This window comes from Homo sapiens, chromosome 2 (genome assembly GCF_000001405.40).
Source record: "Homo sapiens chromosome 2, GRCh38.p14 Primary Assembly".
In the NCBI taxonomy this organism is placed as follows: Eukaryota; Metazoa; Chordata; class Mammalia; order Primates; family Hominidae; genus Homo; species Homo sapiens.
Genome location: NC_000002.12, coordinates 165,960,453 through 165,984,229, shown reverse-complemented (window position 1 = coordinate 165,984,229; position 23,777 = coordinate 165,960,453). Strand labels below are relative to the sequence as shown.

The window sequence follows — 23,777 nt, the reverse complement described above, 5'->3', positions numbered from 1 at the left end:
ATCATCACCTCCTCCCTCTTTAAATTGCATCTTACTGTGTCTTCCATAAAACTAGAGTACCCTAGGCCTCTTAGTGTATCTTTGATTCTTTTTCTTTTCTTTCTTTCTTTCTTCTTTTTTGTGTTGTTGTTGTTGTTGAGATGTAGTCTCACTCTGTCGCCAGGCAGTGGCACAACCTCCTCTCACTGCGACCTCCACCTCCCTGGTTCAAGCGATTCCCCTGCCTCAGCCTCCTGAGTAGCTGGGACTACAGGTTCACGCCACCACACCCAGCTAATTTTTTGTATTTTTTAATAGAAACGGGGTTTCACCATTTTGGCCAGGATGGTCTCGATCTCCTGACCTCGTGATCCACCCGCCCCGCCTCCCAAAGTACTGGGATTACAGGCGTTAAGTCACCGCGCCTGGCCTGTATCTTTGATTCTTTGCCTTTACTCTCTATCAATATTTTCTCTCCTTTTAGATTTGTAGTGCAGCAGCAGCCTTTTTGCTGAGTTGGTGCTGCATCTCCACACGTCTGTTGGACTTTTGTACTTGCATATTCAGCTATCACCTTCAACTTAATATGTCCAAAACTAGTCCCTTTATAGTCTATCCCTATCAGCCATCAACAAAACTAGCCAGAAGTCAACCAGCTTTCCCCATATCTGTTATTGTTCAAGTTATCTTTCTAATTCGGCAAAAGAAATAAGTACAATTACAGGATATATTGAAGAACAAATGAGTAATGCTATGTGAGGATACAGGGAAAGGTTATATAATAGGAAAACTTTTTTTTTTTTTTCTTTGAAACAGAGTTTCCCTCTGTCACCCAGGCTGGAGTGCAGTGGCGCAATCTCGGGTCACTGCAGCTTCCACTCCCCGGGTTCAAGCGATTCTCCTGCCTCAGTCTCCCAAGTAGCTGGGATTACAGGCACCCACCACCACACCTGGCCAATTTTTGTGTTTTTGGTGGAGACGGGGTTTCACCATGTTGGCCGGGCTGGCCTCGAACTCCTGACCTCAAGTAATCCACCCGCCTTGGCCCCCCAAAGTGCTGGGATTACAGGCATAAGCCACCACGCCGAGCCTATAATGGGATAACTTCTGATCTGGGTTTTGAAGAATAAGCGGGGTAGGGCAGCCAGGACAGCAAAAATATCAGACCAATGGCCAAAACCACAGGCTCTAGAGTCAGATTGCCTGGATCCAAATATCAGCTATACTGATATTACAAAAGTTTCTTGGCCTCTCATTGCCTCAATTTCATCATCTGTAAAAATGGTAATAATAATTCTTATGAGGACTAAATGAGTTAACGGAAGTAAAGCTTTCAGATCAACAGTTCCAGGCATATAATTACTACATAAGTCTTTGTTTTAATGATGACAATTAAAGACACATATGAAAATGAGAAACACAAGGACAGTTCAGAGCATTTTTAAGAGTTCACTGTTGCTAATGTGAAAAAGGAGCAATGACAGTGACTGAGAGACAAGCAGGACTCAGATGATAAAGGGCTTTAAATGCAGGGTGGGGGCCTTGGTGATGAAGACCCATTTAGAAATTGTAAAAGAAGCAAAAGTCGGTGAGAGTAGATTTTGACTTCAAGACAAAGGAAACATTCAATGTGAATTTTATAATTGTTTTGTCTAATTCTAGGAAAAATGACATTGGTAAAAAAGCAATAAATGTTGGTGAGGTACAGTGAAAAGGAAAGGCTTATACACTGTTGGTGGGAAAGTAAATTAGCACAATTTATGTACTATTTATGTACCATTTATGTTTCCTCTTTGGAAAACAGTATGGAGATTTCTCAAAGAACTAAAAGAGATCTAACATTCTATCTAGCAATCCCCCTACTGGGTATCTACTTAAAGGAAAATAAGTTATTATATCAAAAAGACACCTGTATTTGTAGGTTTATCACAGCCCAGTTCACAATTGCAAAGATATGGAATCTACATAAGTGTCCATCAACTGAAGAGTGGATAAAGAAAATCAGGGGTGTCCAAGGTAGACAATACAGTCATGGGTTCTTAGTTTCTATTTCTGTTTGGGTCAGTAAAGCCCCTTGCTCATCTCCCTTTTCTGCTTATCACTAGGGACAGAAACTAAAAGTCATGGCTTCAGGCTGCTAAAGTCTAAAACAAAACAAAACAGAACAACAAGAACAATAAAGTTAGGCGGGACAAGCTTGAAGACTGAACAGTAGTTATTTATGGCAGAATACTACTCAGCCATAAAAATGAATGAAACATGTTTGCAGCAACTAGGATAGAACTGGTCATTATCCTAAGTGAAGTAACTCAGGAATAGAAAACCAAATACCACATGTTCTCCCTTACAAGTGGGAGCTAAGCCATGGGTATGCAAAGCCATAAAGAGTGCTATAATGGACACTGGAGATTCAGAAGTAGGGAGGGGGAGAGGGAGATGAGGAATAAAAAATCACCTATTGGGTACAATGTACACTATTCATCACTACATCACTACATTAAAAGCTCAGACTTCACCATTATACAGTTCACTCATGCAACAACAACAAAAAAACCTTGTACCACTAAAGCAATGGAAATAATAAATAAATAAAATAAATAAAAGCAACTGCTGATAACAAAAAAACAAAAGAAACAGAAATCAGGGACAAAGTTTAGGAAGCTACTGGGAAAACACAAGCAATGATGAGACATAAGCCTTGAATATCTTCTTTCTTTCTACCCAGTGAAAGCAAGCCCATTCTTCAGGATTCGGAGACAGCTTCTTTGTTTCTTATTACTGGAAAAGAATTTTTTCTCCTATGAATCTCTGTGGGATTCATTCAAAAGTGTCAGGGTTTGGACATGTACCCAGATACTCAAACCCAAACACTTCTGAGAGTGAAAGAGGACAATATTAATAATTGTGCTAAAACAGGCACAATCCAGGACTCTTACAGGCACATCAGGACAGAAGGTTACTAATCCACCATTATGTATATGTGGGAATGTAGGTTTCCCCCTTTTATCACCCTTACTTCTACGCTGCCACAAGAAAACATATACCATCTGCCTGATAGGCAGAAATGAACTTCTATAGTGCTTGGCATACACAAAATGATGAGTAAGTATTTAGTAAATGAGCAATTGAATTAAATGTTAGTATTGCTTTAGTTTTTTTTTAAGTTTTTATGCCTCTAAAATCTTTTTTCTTTACTTATACAGAATATCAGAGGGCTTCCATTATATAGAAGATACATAAAAGAATAAGATATCACAAAACTTACAAATGAAAGTTGACCTTGGTATATTACAGTAATATTGGATACATATGACTCATATTTAAAAGAGCATATGTTACATGCATAAGAGTGCATACCATACCTGTAAAGAAATAGTCATAGATGTAGATAAGTATAGATATGTTTATACACAAATATTTTCAAGATACGAGTACATAAATTGATTTTAAACTCTTCAGAATTTAAGGGTTATATAGTACTCACCTCATTTTTTGTTAGGGTAAAATTATTGAGCTTGCCATTTTAAATCTGTTTATTCTTATCTTCTAAAAGGAAGTAGTGCTACTGGACCTTGTTTTCTCTTCAACATTACTTGGCCTGATTTCTATCTGCATTATTAATGTTCATCTTTCATCAAGGATGATGAAGAAATGTCTTGTTCAGCAGTATTTCTTGCAGTCATGGAAAACAAAAATTTCTAAAGGCAAACAAATTGTGCCTTTGATCAGACTTAGTCATAAGTGCAGCCATTTGCCCTACCTAAGGGAAACGTCTATTGAGTTATACTGATCGATAACCTGAGACAGGTGAAATGCTAGAGCAAAATGTAGTAACCATAAGATTGTGAATGTATAAATATGTAAGAAGGTGGATAATAGGATTTATGGGGAATGGTTAAAGTATCTAGGAATATTTCTCTCAGAGAAGAGAATGAGGAATGACATTATTACAGCAGAGCTTCTTCTATTTATTATATGTTATGATTTGCTAGAATAAAATTCATTAGGCATTAATAGTATTAAATTTAGTATGAAACTAGTCAGGTTTGTCTTAGAATTTTATGACATTCCCTTTTCACAGTAATGTAGACTTTTTTATAGCATGCACCTTAAAACTCTTCCAGCCTCCTTCACCCATTACCCAGTTCCAACACTGCTTCCACATTTTTAGGTATTTATTATAACAGCACTCCCACTTTTTGGTATCAATTTCTGCCTTAGTTCATTCAGATTGCTACGACAAATACCATAGACTGGGTGGCTTAAAAACAACAGAAATTTATTTCTCAAAGTTCTGGAGGCTGGAAGTACATGATCAAGGCCACAGGAGATTTGATGTCTCGAGAAGGCCTATTTCCTTGTTTGTAGACAATGGTCTTCTTACTGAGTCCGCACATGACAGAAGGAGTGAGGGAGATGTTTGGGCACTTTTATAGGGACACTAATCTTAGTCATGAGGGCTCTGCTATCATACCTAATCACCTCCCTAAGATCCACCCTCAGATACCATCATATGGGAGGTTAGGATTTCAATATATGAATTCGGGGGAGATATAAACATTCAGTCTATAGAATATGGCAAATGCTATTAGCAATAAACATTCAGCCTATAGCATATGGCAAACACTATTAGCACATTTGATGTTACTCAATTCTTTCTTATCATTTGAATTAATAAATAAAAAACATTAATTATCTGTGAACAATTATAGTTAAAAGAAGTTAATCTTATTAAGCAGTAGAGGTTTTATTTTAAAACATTCAAAGAGATTGCAAAAGATATTTCTGAAATAGAAATTAGTCTTGATTGTTGTAACAAAACAAGACTATGAAATTTACATAGTAGGAAATGAGAAGCCCAAAGATAAACACTACTAAAACTTAGTTCATATTTTTTCATGAGTTGTAAGTATATGTAAAACTGGATCAAAAACATTTACTTAATTTTTCAAACTTCCTAAGCTACTGTTTCTCAATCACTCTTTCAGAAAACCAGAAATACTGTTAGTCTAATAAAATTGCTAAGACCTTGAGCTAATTATTTAACTTTGTTGAACAGTGAGTTCTCATTTACAAAATGAAGAATTTGAAAGATAAAATCTTTCAAGGTCCATTTTCGTTTTGAAACATTATTTTTCAGAGAGTAAAAACGATTTCTAGTGGCATAAAACAATTATCATAACTAACATAGTGAATCAAGTAAACCTCACATTAATTTTATAGACTTTTAAGACAATATACAAAGGGTTTCTCCTGACAAGGTATAACTTCCGTCTATGCAGTGATTTTGGTATTATAACTATGAGAGGAAAAAGGATACCAATATTATAGAAGAGCATCCAATTCTTAGGAATTTGTGGAAGATGATAGGAACCTGCGAAAGGTGATTTTCCTCTACTCTGCCCTTCAAGGCTGTGCGTATGTCATCAGGAAGCTCACGTTTCAGCCTCTAATTAAACTCTAAAATAGGATCTAACTCTAGATTATCCTGACAAATATAGACTCCTTGATACTGTCTGAATAACAATTTGGAAATAAATTACTGAATTTTAAGGCCTGCCATATTCAAGTACACATCTTTTTTCTTTATACATAATAGCTGTACCTATTTTAGTCATACATGTAAAAATTTGCTACACTCATATAACCAAATCAGGGTAACTGAGATATCCTTCATCTTAAATGTTTACCTTTCTTTATTCTAGGGCATTCAAATTATTTCTTTTTAGCTGTTTTGAAATATGCATTCTATTAATGTTAACTATAGTCAACCTACTGATCTATTGAACATCAGGTCTTATTTCTTCTATCTAATTGTACATATGTACTCATGAATCAACCTCTCTTCATTCCCTACTTCCCTCTACCCTTCTAGCATCTGGTAACCACCAATCTACTCTCTACCCCATGAGACCCACTTTTTCAGCTCCCACATATGAGTAAGAACATGCAATATTTCTTTCTGCTCTTTGCTCATTTCACTTAGTATGATGATCTCCAGATCCATTTTCTTTATCCATTCATCTGTTGATAGAGACTTAGGTTGATTCCATATTTTGGCTATTGTGAATAGTGCTGAAATAAACAGGGTTGCAGATATTTTTTGATACATTTATTTCCTTTCTTTTGGATATATACTCAATGGTGGTATCAATGAATCATATGGTAGTTCCACTTGTAGTTTCTTCAAGAACTTCCATCCTGTTTTCCATAATGGCTATACTGATTTACATTCCCACCAATGGTATAAAAGGTTCTTTCTCCACATCTCACCAGCATCTATTATTCCCTATCTTTTTTATAAAAGCCATTCTAACAGGCATGGGCCATGGTGGTTTGCTGCACCCATCAACCCATCATCTAGGTTTTAAGCCCCACATGCCTTAGGTATTTGTCCTAATGCTCTCCCTCCCCTTGTCCCCAACCCCCCAACAGGCCCCGGTGTGTGAGGTTCCCCTCCCTGATAAGTGGGAGTTCTCATTGTTCAACTCCCACTTATCAGTGAGAACATGTGGTGGTTGGTCTTCTGTTCCTGTGTTAATTTGCTGAGAATGATGGTTTCCAGCTTCATCCATGTCCCTGCAAAGGACATGAACTCATTCTTTTTTTATGGCTATATAGTATTCCATGGAGTTTATGTGCCATATTTTCTTTATCCAGTCTATCATTGATGGACATTTGGGTTGGTTCCAAGTCTTTGCTATTGTGAATAGTGCTGCAATAAACATACGTGTGCATGTGTCTTTATAGTAGAACCATTTATAATCATTTGGGTATATACCCAGTAATGGGATTTCTGGGTCAAATGGTATTTCTGGTTCTAGATCCTTGAGGAATCACCACACTGTCTTCCACAATGGTTGAACCAATTTACTCTCCCACCAACAGTGTAAAAGCATTCCTATTTCTCCACATCCTCTCCAGCATCTGTTGTTTCCTGACTTTTTAATGACTGCCATTCTAACTGGTGTGAGATGGTATCTCATTGTGGTTTTGATTTGCACTTCTCTAATGACCAGTGATGATGAGCTTCTATGTTTGTTGGCCATATAAATGTCTTCTTTCAAGAAGTGTCTGTTCATATACTTCACCCACCTTTTCATGGGGTTGTTTTTTTCTTGTAAATTTGCTTAAGTTCTTAGTAGATTCTGGATATTAGACCTTTGTAAGATGTATAGATTGAATTTTCTCCCATTCTGTAGGTTGCTTTTTCACTATAATGACAGTTTCTTTTACTGTGCAGAAGCTCTTTAGTTTAATTAGATACTATTTGTCAATTTTGGCTTTTGTTGCCATTGCTTTTGGTGTTTTAGTCATGAAGTCTTTGTCCATGCCTATGTCCTGAATGGTATTGCCTAGGTTTTCTTCTAGGGTTTTTATGGTTTTAGGATTTATGTTGAAATCTCTAATCCATCTCTAGTTAATTTTTGTACAAGTTGTAAGGAAGGGATCCAGTTTCAGTTTTCCGCATATGGCTAGCCAGTTTTCCCAGCATCATTGATTAAATAGGGAATCCTTTCCCCATTGCTGGTTTCTGTCAGGTTTGTCAAAGATTAGATGGCTGTAGATGTGTGGTGTTTCTGAGGGCTCTGTTCTGTTCCATTGGTCTATATTTCTGTTTTGGTTTCCAGTACCATGCTGTTTTGGTTACTGTAGCCTTGTAGTATAGTTTGAAGTCAGGTAGCATGATGCCTCCAGCTTTGTTCTTTTTGCTTAGGATTGTCTTGGCTATATGGGCTCTTTTTTGGTTCCATGTGAAATTTAAAGTAGTTTTTTCTAGTTCTATGAAGAAAGTCAATGGTAGCTTGATGGGAATAGCATTGAATCTATAAATCACTTTGGGCAGTATGGCCATTTCATGATATTGATTCTTCCTATCCATCAGTATAGAATGTTTTTCCAGTTTTTTTGAGCCCTCTCTTATTTCCTTGAGCAGTGGTTTGTAGTTCTCCTTGAAGAGGTTTTTCACGTCCCTTGTAATTTGTATTCCTAGGTATTTTATTTTCTTTGTAGCAATTGTGAATGGGAGTTCACTCATGATTTGGCTCTCTGTCTTGTCTATTATTGGTGTATAGGAATGCTTGTGACTTTTGCACATTGATTTTGTATCCCGAAACTTTGCTGAAGTTGTTTATCAGCTTAAGGAGTCCTTGGGCTGAGAAGATGGGGTTTTCTAAATATGTAATCATGTCATCTGCAAACAGAGACAATTTGACTTCCTCTCTTCCTATTTGAATACCCTTTATTTCTTTCTCTTGCCTGATTGCCGTGGCCAGAAATTCAATACTATGGTGAATAGGGGTGGTAAGATAGGGCATCCTTGTCTTGTGCTGGTTTTCAAAGGGAATGTTTTCAGCTTTTGCCCATTCAGTATGATATTGGCTATGAAGTTTTTTCATAAATAGCTCTTATTATTTTGAGATATGTTCCATCAATAGCTAGTTTATTGTTTTTAGCATGAAGAGGTGTTGAATTTTATCAAAGGCCTTTTCTGCATCTATTGAGATAATCATGTGGTTTTTGTCATTGGTTCTGTTTACATGATGGATTACGTTTATTGATTTGTGTATGTTGAACCAGCCTTGTATCCCAGGGATGAAGCCAACTTGATCGTGGCAGATAAGCTTTTTGATGTGCTGCTGGATTCGGTTTGCCAGTATTTTATCAAGGATTTTCACACTGATGTTCATAAGGGATATTCCCTGAAATTTTCTTTTTTTGTTGTGTCTCTGCCAGGTTGGTATCAGGATGATGCTGGCCTCATAAAATGAATTAGGGAGGAGTCCTTCTTTTTCTATTGTTTGGAATACTTTCATAAGGAATGGTACCAGCTTCTCTTAGTACCTCTGGTAGAATTTGACTGGGAATCAATCTGGTCCTTGGCTTTTTTTTTTTTTTTTTTTTTTGGTTGGTAGGCTATTAATTTATGCCTGAATTTCAGAATTTGTTATTGGTCTATTCAGGGATTCATTCAACATCTTCCAGGTTTAGTCTTGGGAGGGTGTATGTGTCTAGGAACTTATCCATTTCTTCTAGATTTTCTAGTTTATTTGCATAGAGGTGTTTTTAGTATTCTCTGATGGTAGTCTGTATTTCTGTGGGATCAGTGGTGATATCCCCTTTATCAATTTTTATTGTGACTATTTGATTCTTCTCTCTTTTCTTCTTTATTAGTCTGGCTAGTGGCCTACTTTGTTAATCTTTTCAAAAAAACTACCTCCTGGATTCACTGATGCTTTTTGAAGGGTTTTTTGTGTCTCTGTCTCCTTCAGTTTTGCTCTGATCTTAGTTATTTCTTGTCTTCTGCTAGCTTTTTAATTTGTTTGGTCTTGCTTCTCTAGTTCTTTTAATTGTGATGTTAGGGTGTTGATTTTAGATCTTTTCCACTTTCTGATGTGCTATAAATTTAGTGCTATATTTATATTTATATATATTATATTATGTATATCTATATTTATATATTTAATGTGCTATAAATTTCACTCTTAACACTGTTTTAGCTGTGTCCCAGAGATTCTGGTACATTGTCTTTGTTTTCAGTGGTTTCAAAGAATTTATTTATTTCTGCTTTAATTTTGTTATTTACCCAGTAGTCATCCAGGAGTAGGCTGTTCCGTTTCCATGTAGTTGTGCTGTTTTGAGTGAGTTTCTTAATCCTGATGTCTAATTTGATTGCAATGCAGTCTGAGAAACACTTTGTTATGATTTCCATTTTTTGCATTTGCTGAGAGTGTTTTACCTCCAACTATGTGGTCTATTTTAGAATAAGTGCCATGTGCTGGGAAGAATGTATAATCCATTGATTTGGGGTGGAAAGTTCTGTAGATGTCTATTAGGTCCACTTGGTCCAGATATGAGCTCAAGTCCTGAATATAGTTGTTAATTTCCTGTCTCGTTGATCTGTCTAATATTGATAGTGGGCTGTTAAAGTCTCTCGCTATTATTGTTTGGGGGTCTAAGTCTCTTTGTAGATCTCTAAGAACTTGTTTTATGAATCTGGGTGCTCCTGTATTGGGTGAATATACATTTAGGATAGTTAGCTCTTCTTGTTGCATTGATCTCTTTACCATTATGTAATGCTCTTGTCTTTTTTGATCTTCGTTGGTTTAAAGTCTGTTTTATCAGAGTCTAGGAATGCAACCCCTGCTTTTTTTTTTTCTTTCCATTTGCTTGGTAAATATTCCTCCATCCCTTTATTTTGAGCCTATGTGTGTCTTTGCAAGTGAGATGGGTCTCCTGATGCACGTGAGATGGGTCAAGACAGATGGGCCTTGACTCTAACCAAATTGCCTATCTGTGTCCTTTAATTGGGCCATTTAGCCCATTTACATTTAAGGTTAATATTGTTATGTGTAAATTTAATCCTGTCATCATGATGCTATCTGTTTATTTTGCATATTTGTTCGTGCAGTTTCTTCATAGTGTCGTTGGTCTTTATATTTTGGTATGTTTTTCCAGTGGCTGGTACCGGTTTTCCCTTTCCATATTTAGTGCTTCTTTCAGGAGCTCTTGTATGGCAGGCCTGGTGGTGACAAAATCTCTCAGCATTTGCTTGTCTGTAAGTGATTTTACTTCTCCTTCACTTATGAAGCTTAGTTTGGCTGGATATGAAATTCTGGGTTGAAAATTCTTTTAAGAATGTTGAATATTGGCCCCCACTCTCTTCTGGCTTGTAGGGTTTCTGCAGAGAGATTCGCTGTTACTCTGATGGGCTTCCCTTTGGAAGTAACCTGACCTTTTTTTCTAGCTGCCCTTAACGTTATTTCCTTCATTTCAACCTTGGAGAATCTGACAATTATGTATCTTGGGGTTTCTCTTCTTGAGGAGTATCTTAGTGGTGTTCTGTGTATTTCCTGAATTTGAATGTTGGCCTGTCTTGTTAGGTTGGGGACGTTCTCCTGGACGATATCTTGAAGTGTGTTTTCCAAGTTGGTTCCATTCTCCCTGTCACTTTCAGGTACACTAATCAGTCGTAGGTTTGGTCTTTTCACATAGTCCCATATTCCTTGGAGGCTTTGTTCACTTCTTTCCATTGTTTTTTCTCTAATCTTGTCTTCACGCTTTATTTCATAAAGTTGATCTTCCATCTCTGATATCTTTTCTTCCACTTGATCACTTTGGCTATTGATACTGTATGCTTCACGAAGTTCTCATGCTGTTTTTCAACTCCATCAGGTCATTTATGTTCTTCTCTAAACCGGTTATTCTAGTTAGCAGTTCCTGTAACCTTTTATCACGGTTCTCAGCTTCCTTGCATTGGGTTAGAACATGCTCCTTTAGCTCCGAGTAGTTTCTTATTACCCACCTTCTGAAGCCTACTTCTGTCAACTTGTCAAATTCATTCTCCATCCAGTTTTGTGCCCTCACTGGAGAGGAGTTGCGATCATTTGGAGGAGAAGAGGTGTTCTGGTTTTGGGAATTTCCAGCATTTTGGGGCTGGTTTTTCCTCATCTAGTGGATTTATCTACCTTTGATCTTTGGTGCTGATCCTTTTTTTTTTTTTTTTTTTTTTTTTGATGTTGATGTTACTGCTTTCTGATTGTTAGTTTTCCTTTTAACAGTCAGGCCCGTCTTCTACAGGTCTGCTGGAGTTTGCTGGAGGTCCACTCCAGACCCTGTTTGCCTGGGTATCACCAGTAGAGGCTGCAGAACAGCAAAGATTGCTGCCTGCTCCTTCCTCTGGAAGCTTCATCCCAGAGTGGCACCTGCCTGATGCCAGCAGGACCTATCCTGTATGAAGTGTCTGTCAACCCCTCCTGGGAGGTCTCTCCCAGTCAGGAGCCACAGGGGTCAGGGACCCACTTGAGGAGGCAGTCTGTCCCTTAGCAGAGCTTGAGTACTGTGCTGGGAGATCTGCTGTTCTCTTCAGAGCCAGCAGGCAGGAATGTGTAAGCCTGCTGAAGCTGTGCCTACAGCCATTCCTTCCCCTAGGTGCCTTGTCCCAGGGAGATAGGAGTTTTATCTATAAGCTCCTGACTGAGGCTGCTGCCTTTCTTTCAGAGATGCCCTGCCCAATGAGGAGGAATCTAGACAGGCAGTTTGGCCCCAGGCACTTTGCTGTGCTGTAGTGAGTTTCATACAGTCTGAACTTCCCGCAGTGCGAACTTCCCAGTGGCTTCTTTAACACTGTGAGGGGAAAACTGCCTACATAAGCCTCAGTAATGACAGATGCCCCTGCCACCACCAAGCTCTATCATCCCAGGTCAACTACAGACTGCTGTGCTGGCAGTGAGAGCTGGGCTCCATGGGAGTGGGACCCACTGAGTGAGACCACTTGGCTCCCTAGCTTCAGCCCCCTTTCCAGGGGAGTGAACAGCCCTATCACGCTGGAGTTCCAGGTGCCACTGGGGTATGAAAAAAAAACTCCTGCGGCTAGCTCAGTGTCTGCCCAAACATCCGCCCAGTTTTGTGCTTGAAACCCCGGGCCCTGGTGGTGTAGGCACACAAGGGAATATCCTGGTCTCTGGGTTGCAAAAACCAATGGAAAAGCATAGTATCTGGGCTGGATAGTACAGTCCCTCAGGGCTTCCTTGGCTACTGGAAGGAGTTCCCCGGCCCCTTGCCCTTCCCAGGTGAGGCGATGTCCCACCCTGCTTCTGCTCTCCCTCCGTGGGCTGCACCCCACTGTCTAACCAGTCCCAGTGAGATGAACTGGGTACCTCGGTTGGAAATGTAGAAATCATCCGCCTTCTGTGTTGGTCTCGCCAGGAGCTGCAGACTGGAGCTGTTCCTATTCGGCCATCATGCCAGCTACCCTGTGTAATATTCTCTATCTTGCTTTTCATTTTTTTTTCCTCGTGATTTCATATAGCCTGTCTTTTAGTTCACTGATTCTTTCCTCTGTTTAATCCATTCAGCTGTTGAGAGCCTGCAGTAAATTTTTGAGCTCAGCAGATATATTTCTCAGTTCCAAGATTTCTGCTGGCTTTTTTTTTATTTCAACCTCCATGTTTAATTTCTCTGATAAATTTCTGAGTTCCCTTTCTGTGTTATCTTAGATACCAGTGAGTTTCCTTAAAACTATTATTTTGAGGTCTTGGTCAGGTATTTGATGTACTGTCATCTCATTAGGGTCAATCACTGGTTCTTTACATTGTCCATTTGTGTTGTTCATGGTTTCCTGTTTCCTGTTGTTTCTTGTGGATGTATATTTACGTCTTTGCATTAAAGGATTACTTTAGTCTTCTCTGTCTGGCTTGTTTTGGTTTTAATTGGGGATGGGATGTTAACTTAGAGATTCTTCTTAAATTACCTGTTCAATATCTTATACTTTTTTCTCACTTGGTCACTTCCTCCTTTCAGGACTAGATGGCACCTTAAACTCAGGTTTGCCTTTGCACTAGCAAACAATCAGAGCACTGCCCATCTGCAGTGGGAGATTTGAAAGGGGATATCCTGGTCGTATAAAAAGGCTGGCTGGGGATTTGTGCTCAGGGGACCTGTGACATGTACCTCCTACAGCATGGTGCTGGTGAGCAGCCACATGTACCTCCAAAGCATCTCCTTTGGCCTAAGTACAGAGTAGAGTTTCAAGCACTAAGAATGGTAGTTCCACCTTCTCTCCTTGTCTCTGGCTGTTCTCTCCTTCCAGACACTCACAATACTTGCTGTGGATTGAGGCATGAATAGGTCTCCTGCCAGGGAACCCAAGATGGTAGGAAAGCTGGTTGTTCATCTTGATCTCACCTTATCCAGTGCAGAAACTGTGAATCAAGGGACATTTTCTGCAAATTGGTGCAGGGCAGATATTAGGAAGGGGCATTTCGGATATGAAAATTTGATTCTCTTACCATCTGCTCAGAATTTTTTTACTTCTCTATGTCCTCAGGAACTGATTTATCCTCACATTTGAATTTCTGGAAGTCACTGGTGAAATCTCAGGGCTGTATATTTCTTTTGGTTTTGTGGGGTGGGGGGAATGAAGAGTGAAGGAAACCTGTGTCTACACAAACATTTTGGAACAGGAAGTCTCCCAGGTACACACCTTGAGAGGTTTTCCTATACCAATATTTTGGGGACTAGGCTCTGTCTAAACCTAAGCTAATTTAGTCTCAGAAGCGGTTCTGTTTTTTGATCTTGCACATCATTGCTGTGCCCCATCCACTGTACACCTTCTCTTTAACTATATAGAAACTATAACCTTGTATAATGCTCTATAGCACTATTGCCATCTAAAAATAGAATAATTGCACACATTCTTCTTATGCCAGATAAAAGCCACCTATCAGTACATCCAGACTGTTCTTTGTGTTCATTATAATATTCTCATGGTGAAGTAAGTTTGATCAATAAATAGTCTTAATACTATATTTTAAAAGTTTTACTAAAGCAGTGGCTTTCAAAGTGTGGTCCCCAGACCAACAGCAACAGCATCACATGGGAACTTGTTAAAAATTTATATTTTTGTCTCCTTCCCAGCATCTCCACTGAATTAGAACCTCTACAGGTAGGGGTCCAGCAGTCTGTGTTTTAACAAGTCTTTCAAGTGATTTTTTTAAATGTTCATTATCTTTATTATTTTATTTAATTTTTAACTTGACATATAAAATTATGTGTATTTACCATGTACGACATATTGTTTTCAAGTGTATATACATTGTGGAATTAATAGATCTAGTAATTAACATATGCATTACCTCACATACTTTTCATTTTTGTCGTGAGAACAATTTGTTCTACAACAAGTTAACTGTAGTTAACAGTAAATCATAGTCTTGAAAAATGCTAAGAGTCTAGATGAAATGTCCTCCAAGTCATTCTGATGTATGCTCATGTTTGAGAACCACTGCTTCAAAATCTTCTTTGTCTTTTGTATGAGGGAACAATGTCCCCCAGTGGCCACAAATATGTACATTATCTTTTTATGTAAATATGTTTGTACACTGTGTTGAAAATAATTTCCAAAGATAACTTTTATTATGTTTTTAAGTGAGCTTGAAACTCAGTTGCCAAATTTCTTCTCTTTATTCATGATGAAATCCCAAACGGACACTAGACTGCCTAGAAACTAATTCTTACTCAGTATCATATCTTTCTCTCTAGAAATCAACCATATCCACAGGCTTACTTGGTGTATTAGTTCACTTTCACACTGCTGATAAAGAAATACCTGAAACTGGGAACAAAAAGAGGTTTGATTGGACTTACAGTTCCACATGGCTGAGGAGGCCTTAGAATCACGGTGGGAGGTGAAAGGCACTTCTTACATGGTGGCAGAAAGATAAAAATGAGGAAGAAGCAAAAGCAAAGCCCCCTGATAAACCCATCAGATCTCGTGAGATTTATTCACTATCACGAGAATAGCACAGGAAACACTGGCCCCCTTGATTCAATTACCTCCCCCTGGGTCCCTCCCAAAACATGACAGAATTCTGCAGATAAAATTCAAGTTCATATTTGGGTGGGGACACAGCCAAACCATATCTTTCTACCCCTGGCCCATCAAATCTCATGTCCTCACATTTCAAAACCAATTATGCCTTCCCAACAGTCCCCCAAAGTCTTAACTCATTTCAGCATTAACTCAAAAGTCCACAATCCAAAGTCTCATCTGAGACAAGGCAAATCCCTTCCACCTATGAGCCTGTAAAATCAAAAGCAAGTTAGTTACTTCCTAGATACAATGGGAGTACAGGTATTGGGTAAATACAGCCATTCCAAATGAGAGAGACTGGCCAAAAGAAGGGGGTTACAGGGCCCAAGCACGGCCGAAATCCAACAGGGCAGTCAAATTTTAAAGCTCCAAAATGATCTCCTTTGACTCCAGGTCTCATATCCAGGTCACGCTGATTCAAGAGGTGGGTTCCCATGGCCTTGGGTAGCTCTGTCCCTGTGGCTTTGCAGGGTACAGCCTCCCTCCCGGCTGCTGTCACGGGCTGGTGTTGAGTGTCTGTGGCTTTTCCAGGTTCATGGTGCAAGCTGTTGGTGGATCTAACATTCCAGGGTCTGGATGATGGTGGCTCTCTTCTCACACCTTCACTAGGCAGTGCCCCAGTAGGGACTCTGTGTGGGGCCTACAACCCCACATTTCCCTTCTGCATTGCTCTGGCAGAGGTTCTCCATGAGAGCCCTGCCCCTGCAGCAAACTTTTGCCTGGGTATCCAGGTATTTCCATGCATCTTCTGAAATCTAAGCAGAGGTTCCCAAACCTCAATTCTTGACTTCTGTGTAGCTGCAGACTCAACACCACATGGAAGCTGCCAAGGATTGGGGCTTCTAACCGCTGTAGCCATAGCCTGAGCTCTACATTGACCCCTTTCAGCCATGGCTGGAATGGTTGGGACACAGGGCTCCAAGTCCCTAGGCTGCACACATATGGGGACCCTGGGCCCGGCCCACAAAACCACTTTTTCCTCCTGGACCTCCAGGCCTCTGATGAGAGGGGCTGCTGTGAAGGTCTCTGCTATGGCCTGGAGACATTTTCCCCGTGGTCTTGGGGATTAACATTAGGCTCCTGGCTACTTAAGCAAATTTCTACAGCTGGCTTGAATTTCTTCTCAGAAAATGGGTTTTTCTTTTCTACTGCATTCGTCAGGCTGCAACTTTTATGCTCTGTTTCCCTTTTAAAATGAAATGCTTTTAACAGCACTGAAGTCAACTTTTGAATGCTTTGCTGATTAGAAGTTTCTTCTGCCAGATACCCTAAATCATCTCTCTCAAGTTCAAAGTTCCGCAAATCTCTAGGGCAGGGGCAAAATGCCACCAATCTCTTTGCTGAAACATAACAAGAGTCATCTTTGCTTCAGTTCCCAAGAAGTTTCTCATCTCCATCTGAGACCACCCCTGGACCTTATTGTCCATGTTGCCATCTGGTTTTTGGTCAATGCCATTCAACAAGTCTCTAGGGAGTTCCAAACTTCCCCACATTTTCCTGTCTTCTTCTGAGCCTTCCAAACTGTTCCAACCTCTGCCTGTTACCCAGTTGCAAAGTCACTTCCACATTTTTGGGTATCTTTTCAGCTGCACCTCACTCTATTAGTACCAATTTACTGTATTAGTCCATTTTCACACTGCTGATAAAGACATACCCAAAACTGGGAACAAAAAGAGATTTAATTGGACTTACAGTTCCACATGGCTGGGGAGGCCTCAGAATCATGGCAGGAGGTGAAAGGTACTTCTTACATGGTGGCAGCAAGAGAAAAATGAGGAAGAAGCAGAAGCAGAAATCCCTGATGCTCACGCCTGTAGTCCCAGCACTTTGGGAGGCTGAGGTGGGCGGATCACAAGGTCAGGAGATCGAGACCATCCTGGCTAACACGGTGAGACCCCCTCTCTTTCTTTAAAACTACAGAAAAATCAGCCAGGCATGGTGGCAGACGCCTATAGTCCCAGCTGCTCTGGAGGCTGAGGCAGGAGAATGGCATGAACCCCGGAGGCGGAGCTTGCAGTGAGCCCAGATCACGCCACTGCACTCCAGCCTGGGCGACAGAGTGAGACTCCATCTCAAAAAAAAAAAAAGAAAAAAAAAAAGAAATCCCAGATGAATCCATCAAATCCTCTGAGACTTATTCACTATCACGAGAACAGCATGGGAAAGACTGGCCTCCATGATTCAATTATCTCACCCTGGGTCCCTCTCACAACACAGGGGAATTCTGGGAGATACAATTCAAGTTGAGATTTGGGTGGGGACACAGCCAAGCCATATCACTCAGTGCTCAGAAAATGGGATAAATTTCTTGACCTTTCCTTCTATTAGAGCCTCTAGTGGACTCCCTACTGCCAAATTAAAGTGGACCCTTGAGGTTTGTGTCCTAGATTCAGCTCTCCTGGGCATACCACACAACCATTTATCTGAGATTTTGTCTTCTCTGGGTGCACTGCTACAGACGAGCAGCTGGATCCCTAAAAATTACAGGACCTATCGGCTTTTATCCTTTTCCCAGTTGTGGAAACTGCTCCTCCCTCTCTTGCTTCAGAGGTACTCCTCTATCTCTTCCTGCCCTCCAAGAAACGCAGATTTATTTCTTTAACAAATTTAGTCTTTTATAAAAGACCTAAATGTCTTTTAAAGTGGTGTCCAGTAGAACTTCCTAAGAGGATAAAAATGCTATATACCTATATTGTCCAATTCAGTAACCACTAGCCACATGTGCCCACTGAGCATTTAAAATGTGGGTAGTGCAACAAATCAGTTTTTAATTACATCTAATTTTAATGTAAATTTAAACAGCCTCATGTGACCAGTGGCTACCTTATTGGGCTGCACAGTTTTAAAGCACAGCAGGCTTTTTCTTTTATCCTGCTGTAAAAATACAAATAGCCTGGCTATCTACTTGAAACAGAGAATGAAAAATATAAAGAGCAATGCAAAATAGCATTTCTAAAATGTTCTCCGGTGATGAGCATGAGGCATTCATTATACTCTGCTTCAATTTTTCTGTATGTTTGAATATTCTCAAAATAAACATTTGGGGAAAGAAACATACTGCCACAAATTAAAGCACAGTTATAAATAAATTTCTGAAGAGGGATCCTGAGGCGTGAGCTCCAGCTGTTTTCATTTTGCTAATTCCGACAAGTGGATGGGCTGATTAGGAAGGCCCAGTGTATGAGAAAGCAACAGTTGGATAAAAAGCAAGAGCCTGGGCCGGGCGCGGTGGCTCACGCCTGTAATCCCAGCACTTTGGGAGGCCGAGGCGGGCAGATCACGAGGTCAGGAGATTGAGACCATCCTGGCTAACATGGTGAAACTCCGTCTCCACTAAAAATACAAAAAAAAAAATTAGCCAGGCGTGGTGGCCGGCACCTGTAGTCCCAGCTAGTCGGGAGGCTGAGGCAGGAGAATGGCGTGAACCCGGGAGGCAGAGCTTGCAGTGAGCAGAGATCGCACCACTGTACTCCAGCTTGAGCGATGGAGCGATGGAGCCTAGTGGTAAAGAACCTTTAAGCAAATATATCCAATAAAAACCCAAACAAGCCAGAAAAAGAAGACTGAAATAAATAATAAATCATTCAATGCAAAGACATAGATGTACATCCACAAAAAACAACAGCAAAGAGGGAACCATGATTTCCCGAAAGCAAGGAACCTAACAACATAGTGATAATGTGAGCTCTCTGACCAACAATTTAAAATAGCCTCTTGAAGAAAGCTCAATGATCTCCAAGTTAACACAGAAAAGGAGCTCAGAAATTTATCAGATAAATTAAACACAGAGATTAGAATAATTTTTAAAAAATAAAACAGAAATATTGAAACTGAAATATATTTGCTGAATGTCAAAATTCATTAGAGGCTGTCAACAGCAGAATGGATCAAGCAGGGGAAAGAATCTGTAATCTTGAAGACAGGCTGTGGGATAATGCAGTCAGAAGAATAAAAAAAAAGAATGAAAAGCATGAAGAACACTTACAAGATATAGAATATTACCTGAAAAAGTAAAATCTAAGAATTATTGGTGTTCAAGAGTGAATGGAGCAAGAGCAAGAAGTAGAAAGCTTATTTAAAGAAATAATAACAGATAACTTCACAAAACTTCAAAAGAAACATTCGGGTATAGGAAGGTCAGAGAACACCAAACAGATCTGACCCAAATAACACTACCCCAAGGAATATAATAATCAGATTCTCAAAGGTCAAGGACAAAGTGAGAATTCTAAAAGCAGCAAGAGAAAAGAAGTAAATAACTTATAAAGGATCCCCAATTCCTTTGGCAACAGATTTTTTTTTTCAATGGAAATCACACAGGAAAGGAAAGAGTGCACCAACATTTTCAGAGTGTTGAAAGAAAAAAACTGCCATTCAAGAACACTTTAATTAGCAAAGTTATCTTTCAAATATGAAGGAGAGATAAAGTCTTCCCCGAACAAGAGCTGAGAGAATTGACCACCACCAGACCCATTTTTAAAGAAATGCTAAAGGGAGTTCTATAATCTGAAAGGAAAACAACAACAAAAAAATTGAAGATATAAAACCTACCAGTAAAATGAAGCACATAGACAAACCCAGATTACTGTAATACTGCATGGTGTGCAATTCACTGATTCCTCTAACACAAAACCCAAAAGAAAAATCTATCAAAAGCAGTAATAGCTACAGCAACTTGTTAAGAGAGAGAGATAATATAAAAATATGCAAATTGAGACGATTAAAAGTCAAAAAGTGGGGGAATAGGGTTAAAGCGTAGATTTTTTTTTTATTTCTTTCTATCCTATTCTTTTTGATATAAGTAAGGTAAGTTGTCTTCTCTTTAAAATAACTTCCATCTATGTTTTTTGCAAGTCTCATGATAACCACAATGCAAAAACCAATAATTCACTAAATATGAAAATCAATGAATTAAAGCATTCTACCAGAGAAAAATTACTTAACCACAAAGGAAGAAGGGAAGAAGGGAGGAAAGGAAGAAGGAGTTATGAAACAACCAGAAAACAAGCAACAAAATGTCAGTAGCCTTTACTTATTAACAGCATTCAATGTAAATGGACTCAATTCTCTAATTAAAAGGCATACAGTGGCTGAATAAACAGCCAAGACCCAACTATGTGCTGCCTACAGAAAAAAACACTTCACCTATAAATATACTGCCTGAAAGTGAAGAGATGGAAAACGATATTACATGCAATGGGAAACCAAAGAAAAAGCAGGAGTGGCTACACTTATATGAGATAAAATAGCCTACGTATCAAAGACTGTAAAAGGAGACAAAAGGTCACTATATAATGATAAAGGAGTCAAGTCAGCAAGAAAATATAACAATTATAAATATCTGTGCACCAAACACTGGAACATCCAAGTATATTCAGCAAACATTAATAGATCTTAAGGGAGAGATAGATTGTAATACAATAATAGTAGGGGACTTTATCACCCCACTCTTAAAAATGAAGAGATCATTAAGAGAGAAAATCAAAAAGGAAATAATGGAGATAAACTACATACTGAAAGGCCTAACTAACATTTACAGAACATTTCATCCAACTGCTACAGAATAACATTGTTTCTTTTCATTAATACATAGAACATTCACCAGAATAAACAATATCTTAAGTCACAAAACAGGTTCCAACCAATTCAAATTGTAGAAAACAACCAAGCGTGATAGCTTGTGCCTGTAGTCCTAGTTACTTAGGAGGCCAAAGCAGAAGAAGAGAATTGGTTGAGCCCAGGAATTCAAGGTAACAGTGAACTACAATTGCATGATTGTATTCCAGCCTGGGTGGCAGAGTGAGACCTTGTCTCCAAAATAAATAAATAAATAAAATAAAACAAAATGTAGAAATTCTATGAAGTATCTTTTCTGACCACAGTAGAATAAAAGTAGAAATCAATTAGAGAACCTCAGAAGCTTCATGAAATTACACAGCATGGAAATTAAACAGCATGCTCCAGAACAAACAATGGGTAAATGTAGAAATTAAGAAGAAAATTAGAAAATTTATTGAAATAAATGAAAATGGAAATATAACATACCAAAATCTAAGCAGCTCTAAGAGGGAAATTTACCACAATAAATGTCTACATCAGAAAAGTAGAGAGACTTCAAATAAACAAACTAATGATGCACCACAAGAAACAAGGAAAGCAAGAACAAATCAAACCCAAAATTAGTTGACAAAAAGAAATAGTAAGGACCAGAGCAGGAAAAAATACAATTCAGACTATAAAAACAATAAAGAAGATCAACAAAATGAAAAGTTTTTTTTTAAAAGATAAAAATCCAATAAACCTTTAGCTAGACTAGAAAAAAAAGAGAAAAACCTAAATAAATAAAATAAAAAATGAAAAATGGAACATAACAACTGAAACCACAGAAATACAAGGAATCATTACAGACTGTCATGAAGAACTATACACCAACCTTTTGGAAAATTTAAAAGAAATAGATAAATTCCTGGACACATACAACCTAGTAAGATTAAACTATGAAGAAATACAAAACTTCAACAAACCAGTATCGAGTAATGAGATAAAAGCCATAATGAAACGTCTCTCATCAAAGAAAAACCTAGGGCCTGATGGCTTCACTGCTGAATGCTACCAAACATTTAAAGAAAATGTAATACCAATTTTACTCAAACTCTTCAAAAAAAAATTGAGGAAGAGGGAATACTGTGGAACTCATTCTACAAGGCCAGCATTATACTGCTACCAAAAGCAAGAAGGATACAACAAAAAAAGAAAAACATAGGATAATATCACTGATGAACATAGAGGCAAACATCCTCAGCAGTATAGTAGTAAACTGAATTTAACCACACATTAAAAGGACCATTCACCATAATCAACTGGGATTTGCCCCAGGGATCCAAGTATGATTCAACATATGCAAACACGATACATCCCATTAACTCGATCAAGAACAAAATCCATGTGATCACTTCAATAGATGCAAAAAAAGGCATTGGACTAAAAATAGAAAAAATTAGCCGGGCGTGGTGGTGGGCACCTGTAATCCTAGCTACTCAGGAGGCTGAGACAGGAGAATCACTTGAACCTGGGAGGCCGAGGTTGCAGTGAGCCAAGATCGTGCCACTGCACTCCAGCCTGGGCGACAGAGTGAGACTCTGCCTCAGAAAAAAAAAAAAAAAAAAAAAAATCGACATCTCTTCATGATAAAAACCCTCAACAAATTGGGTATGGAAGGAACATTCCTCAAAATCATAAAGGCCATATATGACAAATCCACGGCTAACACTGTTCTGAAAAGGGAAAAATTGAAGGCCTTTCCTCTAAGATTTAAAATAAGACACGGATGCCTACTTTTTTTGTGGGGGACAGAGTCTCGCTCTGTCGCCCAGGCTGGAATGCAGTGGTGCTATCTCAGCTCACTCCAAGCTCCACCTCCCGGGTTCACGCCATTCTCCTACCTCAGCCTCCCAAGTAGCTGGGACTACAGGCGCCCGCTACCACGCCTGGCTAATTTTTTGTATTTTTAGTAGAGGCGGGGTTTCACCGTGTTAGCCAGGATGGTCTCGATCTCCTGACCTCATGATCCACCCACCTCAGCCTTCCAAAGTGCTGGGATTACAGGCGTGAACCACCGCGCCCAGCCGGATGCCTACTTTCACCACTTTAACATAATACTGGAACTCCTGGCTAGAGCAATTAGGCAAGATAAAGAAATAAAGGGCATCCATATTTAAAAGGAAGAGTCAAATTAGCCCTGAACACAGATGATATGATCTTAAATTTAGAAAATCCTGGACTCCATCAAAAAAACTGTTAGAACTGACAAATGAATTCAGTAAAGTTGCAAGACACAAAATCAATACACAAAAATCAGTAGCATTTATACATGCCAACAGCAAACAATATGAAAAGGAAATCAAGAAGCAATCACATTTACAATAGCTAAAAAAACATAAAATACCTAGAAGTCAATTTAACCAAAGATGTGAAAGATCTTCATAAGGAAAATGGTAAAACGCTGATGAACGAAACTGGAGAGGACACACAAATAAATGGAAGGATATTGCATGCTCATAGATTGGAAGAATAATATTGTTAAAATGGCAATCCTATTCAAAGCAATTTACAGATTCAATGCAATCCTTATCAAAATAAGAATAAAATTCTTCATAGAAATTGAAAAAAATAATCTTAAAACTTATCTGGAACCACAAAAGACCCCTAATAGACAAAACAATCCTGAACAAAAAGAACAAAGCTAGAGGCATCACATTATCTCACTTCAAAATTTATGACAAAGCTATAGTACCAAAACAGCATTGTGTGGGCATAGACCATACAATGTGTACAGGAAAGACACATAGACCAACGGACCAGAACAAAGAACCCAGATGTAAAGCCATGCCTTTACAGTCAACCTATTTTTGACAAAGGCTCCAAG

General features: G+C 38.9%; 1 long non-coding RNA gene across 1 annotated transcript in view; it reads right to left on the bottom strand.

Annotated features, from left to right (window-relative positions):
- Window positions 1-23,777, bottom strand: part of LOC102724058 (uncharacterized) — a 78,983-nt gene that overhangs the window by 52,171 nt on the left and 3,035 nt on the right. The window lies entirely within an intron of this gene.